The sequence below is a fragment of the Homo sapiens genome, chromosome 9 (assembly GCF_000001405.40).
Source record: "Homo sapiens chromosome 9, GRCh38.p14 Primary Assembly".
NCBI lineage: Eukaryota > Metazoa > Chordata > Mammalia > Primates > Hominidae > Homo > Homo sapiens.
Window position 1 is genome coordinate 109025302 of NC_000009.12, and position 12254 is coordinate 109037555.

Consider the following 12254-nt stretch of genomic DNA (forward strand, 5'->3'; position numbering starts at 1 on the left):
ACTCAAACGATCGCCTGCCTTGGCCTACCAAAGTGCTGGGATTACAGGCATGAGCCACTGTGCCCAGCGGATACTCATTTTTGATTGTACTTTCGGTATTTAATTATGAAAGATATAAACCTCAGGTTAAGAAAGCGTGTACAAAAACAGCCACAAGTTACTCAATCTTCCCTAGAGAAAGATAAAGCTGAGTTCCTAAAGGACCACATTCCAGTTGTCACCTTCCTCTCAAGGTGTAACAGAGGGCAAAGGAAAACTACAATATGGAGAATAGCATCCCTGAAAGAGTTCCTGGGACATATGCCTTACAGGATTTTCTGGGCTTTAATATTCAGAGACTGCTGCTCAATTTTTAGTAGAAGTGAAAGAAGTCTATCAAAGCAAGTCTGATTATCCTGTCCAAAAATCCAGAAAGTATGCATGACTACAGGGGTGTTTTTGCCTTTCCCTACACATCCCATCTCCCTAAACAAGCCCACTATTAATAGAGAACAGAGGAAGTGAAAGGTTCTGATTATTCAGCAGAGGCCAAAATAGTTGGGAGCCCAAAGCTGTGCTGTATCCACTACATTCTCACTATCAACAGTGAGCAGCAGAGAAGGTCTTCCTTCCTACAATCTTTCCTTAGGGAGAATGGGCATTCATCTGTGTGAAGATAGTAGTCTAACAAGTTTTTTTGCAGTGTGGAATTAAGAGGTATGTCTGCTTAATAAAATGCAACCATCTATTCTCTACTGTCACACTGTAACAATATACAAATTCCTAGAAAAAGCCAAGCCCTTTCAGAGCTCATGCTTCTGTAGATACTATTCCCTCACAGCCCATTCATTCCTTCCACTAGGAATTGAGCATTCTGAGTACAAAATACTGTTGACAGAGGTTGACATCAGTAATTAAAATAGACTTGGTCCTGGCAGTAACAGCAACTATAGTCAAGTTGGGATGGGGGAGAGAGAAAAATAATCAAGTGTATAAATGAAAACTGCACTACAAAAAAAAAAGTACAAGGTGCAAACTATAAACACATTAAACTGGCAAGGAGGCCATAACCTAATCTTGGGGGTAGGAAACGCTTCTCTGATGAACTGACATTTGAACTGAGATCTGAATAGTTAGGAGTTCGTTAAGAAGGAAAAATGGGGGATTATCCAGATGGAGGATTATCCAGATAGAGAAAGCAGCGTGCACAAAGGCCCAGAGTTTCAATGGCACCTGGTGTATCTGAGGCCTGATGGAAAGCCAGTGCGGCTGCACCTCGGACAGCAAAGGCCATGAAAGAAAAAAAAAAGAACTAAGAGGCAAAAGCAACAAATTCTAAGAAGGTGGAAAGCGGGTGGGACTGCTATGACCTGGCATACGTGATAGAGTTTGGCTGTCTGTCCCCTGCAAATCTTATGTTAAAATGTGATCCCTAATGTTGAAGGTGAGGCCTAGTGGGAGGTGTTTGGGCCACAGGAGCAGATCCCTCATGAATGGTTTGGTGCCCTCCCCAACAATGATAAATGAGTTTTTGCTCTATTCCTTCAGGTGAGAGCAGTTTGTTTAGAAGAGCCTGTCATCTCTTGCTTCCTCTCTCTCTCTCCATGTGACACACCTGCTCCCCCTTTGCCTTCCACCATGATTGGAAGTTTCCTGGGGCCTCACCAGAAGCAGGTGCTGGCAGTATACTTCTTGTAGAGTCTGAAGAGCCATGAGCCAAAATAAACCTCTTTTCTTTATATAAATTATCTAGCCTCAGGAATTCCTTTATAGCAATGAAAAACAGACTAACACAAGACCCTAAAAAGCTGGATCTTAAACCAGTAGTGAGAAAGGCCAGGAAACATTCTGATTTATTCAGCGAAATCCCCCATAAGGTTTAGGAACTGGTGACATCAAGTAACTCCGGAAGTAGGGTGGGAGATGGGGGTAAACACAGGACTGCTTTACAGTTTCCTTAAAGAGCAGTAAGACAACACCCTCTGATATCCTCACCCCACCTCCCACCCCAGCCAAGCAGCTGACTCCACCCTCTCCCCTCCTTGGCAGAAAACTAGAGGTTTTTTTCCCCTCTGGAGAAGGTAAAACAAAAAGCGTCTGAACTAGTGCACAACAGGCAGAAATGAGGGTGGGCATCCATCCCAACACTGGGAGATTAAGTGGATGTTTACATCTTGAAGGCTGTCCAGACCTTTTCCTCCTCCTGGCTCCCAGGAGGCTGGCAGCCAGGCTTTTAGTCTCTAGCCAGGAGATTAGAAGCTCTTTCTTTGAGGAATATACAAGCCCAAAAAGGGGACCAAAATCACTGACATTAAGGGCTGGACAAAGCAGTGGCCCTGCCACATCATATTATGGTAACACATATCACAATCCACCACAGCTTCTGAGTGTCTCACTCTTTTTTTTTTGAGACAGAGTCTCGCTCTGTTGCCCAGGCTGCAGTGCAGTGGTGCAATGTGCAATGGTGCAATCTCTGCTCACTGCAACGTCCACCTCCTGGGTTCAAGTGATTCTCCTGCCTCAGTCTCCCGAGTAGCTGGGATTACAGGCTCATGCCACCATGCCTAATTTTTGTATTCTTAGTAGAGACAGTGTTTTACCATGTTGGCCAGGCTGGTCTTGAACTCCTGACCTCAGGTGATCTACCCACCTCGACCTCCCAAAGTGCTGGGATTACAGGCGTGACCCACCGCACCCGGCCATGTCTCATTCTTAACATGAGCCAACAGCCAAACACCTTCAATACCTGATATTGTGGTTCTGTTAATACAGGTTAGTGTCCCTTATCTGAAATGCTTGGGACCAGAAGTGACTCACATCTTTTTTGCACTTTGGAATATTTACATTATACTAACCCCAAATCCAAGAATCTAAAATCCAAAATGCTGGCCGGGCACAGTGGCTCATGCCTGTAATCCCAGCACTTTGGGAGGCTGAGGAGGGCAGATCACCTGAGGTCAGGAGTTCGAGACCAGCCTGGCCAACATGGTGAAATCCCATCTCTACTAAAAATACAAAAATTAGCCGGGCGTAGTGGCATGAACCTACCTGTAATCCCCGCTACTCGGGAAGCTGTGGCGGGAGAATCATTTGAATCCGGGTGGCAGAGGTTGCAGTGAGCCAAGATCATGCCACTGCACTCCAGCCTGGGTGACAAGAGTGACACTCCATCTCAAAAAAAAAAAAAAAATCCAAAATGCTCCAACGAACACTTTCTTTGAGCATCATGTTCCCATTCAAAAAATTTCTGATTCTGGAGAGTTTCCGATTTGGGATTTGGGATGCTCAACATGTATGGCAAAGGTGGATGGATTTTACAGATATAATGAATGTCCCTCATTAGCTGACTTAAAAAAAAAAGAGATTATGCTGGGTGGGCTGGGTCTAATCAGGCGAGCTCTTCTTTTAAAAAGTCTAGGGGTCAGAGACCAAAGTTAGAAAAATACTCTCCCGCTGGCCTTAAAGAAGCAAAAACCCAAATTATCAGCTGCCTATGAAGAGAGGCAGCCTCTAGGAGCCATGAGCCTCAGTTATACAACTACAAGGAAATGAATTATGCCAACAACAGGACTGCTTGAAAGAGAACCCCAATCCACAGATGAAACCCCAACTCTGACTGCAGATTTTCAGGTCCTAAGCAGAGGACCCAACCAAGTTTTGCCTGAACTCCCGACCCACAGAAGCTGTATCGTAAATGTACGTTAAGCTGCTAAATGTGTAATCTGTTACATGTCATACAAAATATAAACCTGTACGCTAAAAAGGTACATTTTACTCTAAGGAAATAATACCTCAATAAAGGAAACTGAAAAAAATGTGCAAGTAGAAATGGAAACCTCTATAGTAAAGCTACAAGATAAAGTTGAAGAAATCACCCAGAAAATGGAGCCAAAAAGACACAAGTGAAAAAAGAGAGAAAGGATGTAAAATGTGAAATGCCCAGTCCATGAGGGTCAAAGTCAAAATAAAATAAATTTCTGAAAGAAGAAAAGGAAATCATGAAACAACTCAAGAAAAATGTCAGAACACCAGAACACAAGTTTTCACTTTTAAAGGTCTTAGCAAGTGCCCATCAGGACAGAAACCGTAGATAAACAAAAAGATCTTATATGTCTTCAAACAGTCAAATTAACAAGAATAAATAATAAAAATTGCTTCAGACTTTTAACAACAATCCTAGAAGCCAGAAAACAATGAAGAAATAAATGTTAAAGAAAAAATTTCAAGCATAGAATTCTCTACATAGGAAAGCTATCGGATTAAGTTTGACATTAGGAAAAGCTTTTTCAGACATGCATCATCCCTCAAAATTTACCTCCTATGCATATTTTCCCGAAAATCTATAAGAGGATGTGCTCCACCAAAAAGGAAGAAATCAAGAAAGAAAATTATATAGGGTATAAGAAATAAGGATTCCAATGCAAGGGAGAGTTGAGGGAATACCCAAGGTGACCGCTGAACAGCAAGCCAAAAGGACAGCACTCCACTGGGGCAGACCAGGGCACTTAGGACAGTCTTCTTTAGAAGACCAACTATGCCTGGTGCGACTGAACATACCAAGTGGAGAGGTGAGTGCCTGGTGCAGAGCTTGAGATGGGATTAGTTATAAGTACATGGAAAGCAAAGCAAATAAAAACCAGTATCTTTATTAATTCAAGAGAAAGCAAAAGTCGTATGGGTAAAGAAATATTAGAATATATGACAAGGCTCAAATATGAATATAATTTAAAGTCATAATAATGTAAAACCTGAATACTGATCTAACCAGTATCACCGTTTGTTTTGGGGGAATGGGTAGTGAAAGCTAACTTCTAACCTTCCAAGTCGGAAGTTATTAGATGATGCCTATATATGACCAAATCAGAAATAAATACGTCACTTCAAGATATGGAGGTAAATATCAAAATAATACAGGGTCAAAAAGTGGTTCCTCTTAGAAAAAGGAAGAAGAGGGAGAAGGCAAAGTCCTTATTGTCCTTATTTTTCACTGAGTTTTGTAGAAATTTGACTCTTTAAACTCATGCATGAGTAACTTTGAAAGACAAAGGCTATATGGGTCCTCACGTTATCTTTTTCTACTCTGCCACGCCACATAAGCATTTTGTACTTTTAGAAGGACAAAGAGTTAAAAAGGTTTATTACCTCTAAAAGAATTCATTTAAGTTGCTTTCATTTCACCTTAAATACTAACTCTTGCTTTAGTAACTTGAAATCATTAAGTTTTTCTCAAAATAACAGCAAAATATTGATCAATTATCTTTTTTCTTTGTGTTTGGTGAGCCCATGGAACAGAGCCTCAAGTTAGCAAGTGCATTCTGTTGATTTCGAGCACCGCTGGCTTCTCAGGTATCTGAGCACTTGTCTTTAAGAGGCAAAGGCAGAAAAGGATATCATAGTGTCACCACCACCAAATTGGGAAGGCCCTTGTCAAAATCACCGAAGCACCTCTCCTTTTATTCTTTTGGAAAAACTGATTTTCCCCTGCCATCAACTAAGGATCACGCATTGGCTAAAATGGCCCCCTAACCAGCTCTAACTCAGAGACTTTACTGCATTTGTTCTGAGTTAAAGGACAATGTCTCTCTTCACAAAATATAACACTAAAAACAAAATTAAGCAGAATCATGTTGTTAAAGAATTTTACATAAAAGTATAAAATATTTTCATTAAATGCATTGTCAGAACCAACTTGTCAGTGACTCCTTGATTACACGAGAATATCCAGTGGCAGGAAAACTAGTGTTTTCCAATTGCAGATAACAAGGAGAATGCCATATAGTTTCCGGAAAGTTCAAAACATTTTACTTTTTATTCTGAGACTGTCCTTCTTTTTTGTTGTTAAAATGTAATTTCTGGCACATAACATAGAAAACTGTTTTTAAGTATCCACCTAAACTTAAAACCAGATGTATAACCAGACATTCCTCTTTTAGGTATATGTCCAACTACAGTAAGTACTGTGCGCATGTCCACCAAAAGACATGTACAAAAACGTTCGTGGCAAAATAAGAAATTTTTTTTAAAAAGTTCATAGCATCTTGAATTAAAACAGACATAAACTGCAAACTACCCAAATATCTATTAGTCCTACAATGATTAAATGAGATTGTAATATATTCATGTAATGGAAGATTAGACAACAATGCAAGAATGAACCATGAACAGAGAAAAACATCCAACAATATGAATGAATCACACAGATACACTGTTGAGCAATGAGGACTGACTCAAGAGTACCTACCTACTATATGATTTCTTTTATATGAAGTTCAAAAACAGGCAAAACTAATGAAAAGTGACTATGGTTAGAGTATCAGCAGGCAGTGGGGTCTGACTGAGAGGAGGCAGGGAGAAGCCTTCCAGAACAACAAAAATATTCTATACCTTGATATGAGTAGTGGTTACATGGGTGTGAGTACATGAAAAAATCAACCTGTCTATTTAGAGGTACATTTGGCTATTTAGATGTACATTTCACCATATATAAATTATACCTAAAGAAATTTAAGAAAATTATAAGACAATTGAGAAAAATTTTCAAACATTATAATTTATTTTATGAAATGCTGGTGACAGCAGATAACAGTACTTTTTATTTTAATATCTGTACTTACAAAATAACATGTTGCAACTCTATATTGGTGTCCCAAATAATTTTTTCCCAACTTTGTATTTTAAAAATGTATAAACCTACACAAAATTGAAATGCCGGTACAATTAACAACCATATGTCTTTCATCTAGATTCAACAATTGTTAACATTTTGCTACAGTCACTTCCTCTCTCCCTCTCCCAGTTCTGGCGGAACTGCTTGCAAATAAGTGGCAGACATCATGACACGTCATCTTTAAAGGACATTCTTCTACAGAACCAAAATATCATTGGTTATGACTGGTTATCATTGTATCATTGGTTATCGAAGTATCATTGTTAAATTGGTTAAACCAAATTTAACATTGATATATTATTTAACATATGGTCCATGTTCAAATTTCCCCAATTGTTTCAGAAATATTCCTCCCATCCCCAATCCAGAAATCTATCCCAGACTCATGCAATGCATTTGGTTGTCCTATTTCTTTTCCTTTTTTTTTTTTTTTTTTTTTTTTTTTTTTTTTTTTGAGACAAGAGTCTCGCTCTGTCACCCAGGCTGGAATCCAATGGCATGATCTCGGATCACTGCAACCTCCACCTCCCAGGTTCAAGCAATTCTCCTGCCTCAGCCTCCCGAGTAGCTGGGATTACAGGCACCTGCCACCACATCTGGCTAATTTTTGGGGTATTTTTAGTAGAGATGGGGTTTTACCATGTTGGCCAGGCTGGTCTCAAACTCCTGACTTCAGGTGATTTGCCCACCTCAGCCTCCCAAACTGCTGGGATTACAGGCATGAGCCACACCACATCTGGCCTGGTTGTCCATTTCTTGAGTCTCTTTCAATCTGGTATACCATGTCCCGCATAGAATTAGATTTTTTAAATTTATTTTTGGCTTTTCAAGACATTAACAATTCTCACCCAATATAGGTCTTTTTTTTTTTTTTTTTTTTATATGCTGTTGCCCAGGCTAGAGTCCAGTGGCACAATCTGGGCTCACTGCAGCCTCCGCCTCCTGGGTTCAAGCAATTCTTCTGCCTCAGCCTCCCAAACAGCTGGGTTCACAGGCGGGTGCCACCACACCTGGCTGATTTTTGTATTTTTAGTAGAGATGGGGTTTCGCCATGTTGGCCAGGCTGGGCTCGAACTCCTGACCTCAGGTGATCCACCTGCCTTGTTCTCCCAAAGTGCTGGGATTATAGGCGTGAGCCACTGCTCCCGGCCCCAATATAGGTTTTAAATTTTCTTGGTATATGAAACCCAAAACTCTGCCAACGATTTGTATTTACTTAGTGTCTTCTGCAACCTTTATCACAGCATTGGTACTCAAATACCTTTATCCTGACAAGTCTGGATGAAGCTACTTATCAAATACAGAGACAGGACAGTTCAATGTATAAATACAGCTTATGATTATTCTGCTTTAACTCACCGCTGAGGCTGAGCAGGCCATGGGGTCTGGTTTGGCGTGGGAACTGAATTCGTGGGACTCACTAGCATGGCACTATAGATATTGGAAGCAACCACAAGTATGCAGAGAAGAATAGGACCGATGATTGCTCCTTCCAGGCCTAGGTAGTATGCTCCACCGGCCACTGCCAAGCCTGTCAGGTAAGGATGGCCACCTCTGGAATAAAGAGCACGACCTTTAACACACAAAAACTGGAAAAAATCTGAAATACATTTCTAATACAATGTGCATTCTTTAATACACTATGCTTTTTAGCATATTATCAGCTTTCTTTAGATCACCTCGATGCATACAACTGAACACTGACTGCAATAATATTGAGATGCAACAATATTGAGATGCAACAATTGTTTTTCCTATGGATGACATCTGCCTCTTTTTATAGCTCCAGGAATGAAAGAATAAAGCCAGCAATGTTAACAGATATTTTATACCCATTACAGGTGCCTGCCTATGATGGGTTAATGTTGGCTTGGGACTGGTTAGGAGTCACCTGTTAAGTTAACCTCCATCAAGGATAATTAAGTGAGCACAATTTAGCATGTAATTCAGTTAATTATGCTTTTATATGACGACAGCAACAATGAGAGCATCCCTGTTACTCATAGGTCAGACTTTTGGCAACCTCCTAAAATATAGTTTTTAACATAGGTGATGATAAAAGGCCTCCTGAGGAAAATATCTGTCACAAAGCCCAAGATTTCTATTTCACAGGAGAATCACAAATGCCCTCCAGCTTATTACAGTATCACTTATGTAAGCGGAATGAAATAAAACAGAACACAGTAGCATAGCACATTGATAATGACAAGAAAGGACCACTGACATCAGAAGGACTGGGAAATAAGTCACATTCTGTTTGTTTCTAGTTTTAAACATAGATGAGAAGAACAATTCAGTGAGGGGCAAATAACTAAATATCCTGGAAGGATGTTCTATATTACAGCTAAATCAAAGTAAGACTTGTGGAGAACCAGTCTTCAGGAAACCAATAAATTATATTCATAATGTGTTTGTCTTTCTCATTCCAAAAAAATGATTTAGGGCAGTATTCCATGTTTGCTAAGTAAACTTCTTCCCTAAACAACACATTCAAGGAAAACTATCAAAAATGCTTAAAGCTTTTTATTCCGCTCCATCACCCAGGCTGGAATGCAGTGCCGCAATCACAGCTTACTGCAGTCTTGACCTCCCAGACTCAAGTGATCTTCCTACCTCAGCCTCCTGAGTAGCTGGGACTACAGGCATGTGCCACCACACCAAACTAATCTTTATATTTTTGTGGAGAACGGGTTTCACCATGTTTCCCCGGCTGGTCTTGAGCTCCTGGGCTCAAGTGATCCACCCACCTCGGCCTCTCAAAGTGGTAGGATTACAGGCTTGAGCCACTATGCTCAGCCTTAAAGCTTTTTTTAAAAAAAATAAAAACGTGTGGGAGTTTATGAATAAAAGCTTAACCTATTAAAAAATAAAACAATTTATGCCAAACCTTTCATTTCCCAATAACAACGTTTAAAGACAGTATTTTAGGCCGGGCATCGTGGCTCATGCCTGTAATCCCAGCAGTTTGGGAGGCCAAGGCAGGCGGATCACTTGAGGTCAGGAGTTCAAGATCAGCCTGATCAACATGGTGAAATCCCATCTCTAGTAAAAATACAAAAATTAGCCGGGTGTGGTGGTGCACGCCTGTAATCCCAGCTACTCAGGAGGCTGAGGCAGGAGAATGGCTTGAACCTGGGAGGCGAAGGTTGCAGTGAGGCGAGATTGCACCACTGCACTCCAGCCTGGGTGATAGAGGGAGACTCTGTCTCAAAAAAAAAAAAAAAAAAAAAAAAAGACAGTGTTTCTTTAATTCCAGCTGTAAACCTTAATATAAAATTTACAGCAAAGTTTAAAGAAATAAAAGCACTTAAGTATTAATCATACTTATTCCTGCTCAAATGTCAACTGTGACACACTAGTTAACCACACTATGATGTTCAGCTTTTTAATTTTCTCTCTCAAGTTTTAATGTGACTGAGAACTGGCTTGATATACTTAATGCAATTTCTAAAAGAGATGTCAAAACCTATAAAAACAGACATTTATTTATTGTATTATATGGCTAAAGTGTTGATTCTGACTTAGATTTAACCTGTATTTATCATAGAACCATTCCAATTATATCTTTAGAGAGCTCTGCTTGCCAGAAATTAACTTGCTGAGATTTGGTTTCACATGGATATCCTCAGACATACAATCTAACAACATTTTCTCCAAAACCAAAGAAGAGATAAAAATAATCATTAACTGTTCACTGTACTTAAAATATTTGATGTACATCTGGTCATAATTCTTTTCTAGGTTAAATGTCACTAAATCAAGAGAAAATTATTCACAATTTGGTTTTAACCCAGGACATCATATATATTATAAATATTACATATGTAATAAGAAAATATTGGCTGGGCATGGTGGTTCATTCCCGTAATCCTAGTGCCTTGGGAAGTTCAAGGCAGGAGGACTGCTTGAGCCTAGGAGTTCAAGGTTCAAGGCTGCCATGAGCCATGACTGCACCCTGCACTCTAGCAGTCTGAGTGAAAGAGATATTGTCTCAAAAAAAAAAAAAAAAAAAAGTTGCTCTGGAACTCTGGGGCAACAACAACCAAAAAAAAAAAAAAAAACCCCAAAATATCATGCCTTGTAAACAATACTATTTTCAATGAAAATTTCATTTGTGGGAACACAAAAGGCTATTTCACTGAAAATTCCTACTACCAGTTCTTTTGTATACCCCCAGGAGAAAAAAATCCTCCTTTAAAAAAAAAAAAACGGAAATGCCTGGATGATTCACTAATAAGAAATTCTGTGGCTTACTTACCCTGATATGTCAGAGTAGATTGCAGTATCTACAAAGTATGTTGGCAAGAGATGAAAAATCAACAGTAAAATGGCCTTGCATCCTAACCCTTGTGTCAGCCACAGGTCAAGAACTGCAGGTACTGCTGCCCAGTATGTCCCCAGGAATGGCACTGCTCCAAGGATTGCTGCTAATGCTGAAAAAAGAGTAAAAGAAAAACAACTTAACATCATCAGCAAAACACTAACAAAGCAAAAGAATCTAAGCAGTAGCTCCTCCTCAACAACTTCCAACAAAACAAGTTAAATACTCACAAACTCAAATATTAGGGAAATGATATGCCCTATCTAACTGAATTTTCTAGCTAAGTAAAGGCTCAATATCTTAAAATGTGATACTAAAAATCTTTCTAAGTGTGTGTCTTATTTATGGATCTCTTCTTAAGCAATAAAATTCAAGGGTTCTGTAGTTGCTACTATCAATCAATAGTTAATATACGGTCCTATAAATACACCTACAGAACATGTGTCAAAACTTGTACTGAGTCCAAAGCCCAATCAGAAATTAGTTTCTAAACCTCAGCATAATAAAAATAAACAGAAAAAATCCTGAGTTGAAGGACCCTGCTTCAAGGTCATTCCCTTCCAGAGCAGTATGTTCAAGCACTCTTCCTCCATCTGGCTTCTCTCCAAGTTAAGAGTAAAGCAAATGTAGTTTCTAGTTCTGGTCCTACCAGAAGCCAGGTACATGACCTTGGAAAACTGGTCTCTCATCTATATGACAAGTCTACCATCCCGCCTCACAGGGTGCTTGCAGGTCAGAGGGTAGGTTTGTGGACATCACAGTAGAGAAGAACGTGAATGAACTTGACAATGTAGAAGGAAGCACAGACAAATAGGGAAAGGGGGGGATGTGGTAGAGGCAAATGTGGAAGGCAGAGATATTTAGGAAAACAAGCAGCCATAGAAATAAAGGAAGGAAAAGTAGAAGAAGCACCACAACAGATCTTAAGAGGTATGGAGGCAGCTTATGTGCCCTCAGAAGCATTCATCTTGCCCTGGGATGTAATCCCTCATGGACAAAGCTATTTTGACAACAAGTTGCTCCCTGCCAATCAGTTCAATTCAAACGTTACTGAGAGCCAATTATGTCCTAGGTGTTATGCTAAGTGCTAGAACATTCATTCATTGAACAAACATGTAGGGCAACTGATACGGGTTTGGATCTGTGTCCCCACCAAAATCCCATGTCAAATTGTAATCCCCAATGTTGGAGGTAAAACCTGGTGAGAGGTGACTGGATCATGGCGGGTGGATTTCACCCCTAGGTGCTGTTCTCATGATAGTGAATGAATGAGTTATCGTGAGATCT

The 12254-nt window shown here is 39.9% G+C and overlaps 1 protein-coding gene across 11 annotated transcripts in view, besides 1 other annotated feature; it reads right to left on the bottom strand.

Annotated features, from left to right (window-relative positions):
* Positions 1–12254, bottom strand: part of TMEM245 (transmembrane protein 245) — a 104813-nt gene that overhangs the window by 10167 nt on the left and 82392 nt on the right. For all 11 annotated transcript variants that reach the window (NM_001438169.1, NM_001438166.1, NM_001438172.1 and 8 more), the window contains 2 exons: positions 10905–11079; positions 8006–8200 (listed from right to left, as the gene is read on the bottom strand). In NM_001438169.1, the coding sequence (NP_001425098.1) occupies positions 8006–8200; positions 10905–11079 (370 nt within the window). The remainder of the gene's footprint in view (positions 1–8005; positions 8201–10904; positions 11080–12254) is intronic.
* Positions 10497–11696: an enhancer, noted in NCBI's record as "P300/CBP strongly-dependent group 1 enhancer chr9:111798078-111799277 (GRCh37/hg19 assembly coordinates)". NCBI's record gives its function as "activates an origin of replication core promoter dependent on BRD2, BRD4, P300/CBP, MED14 and CDK7 cofactors, with strong dependence on P300/CBP, by STARR-seq in HCT116 cells {active_cell/tissue: HCT116}" and the evidence as "EXISTENCE:reporter gene assay evidence [ECO:0000049][PMID:35650434]".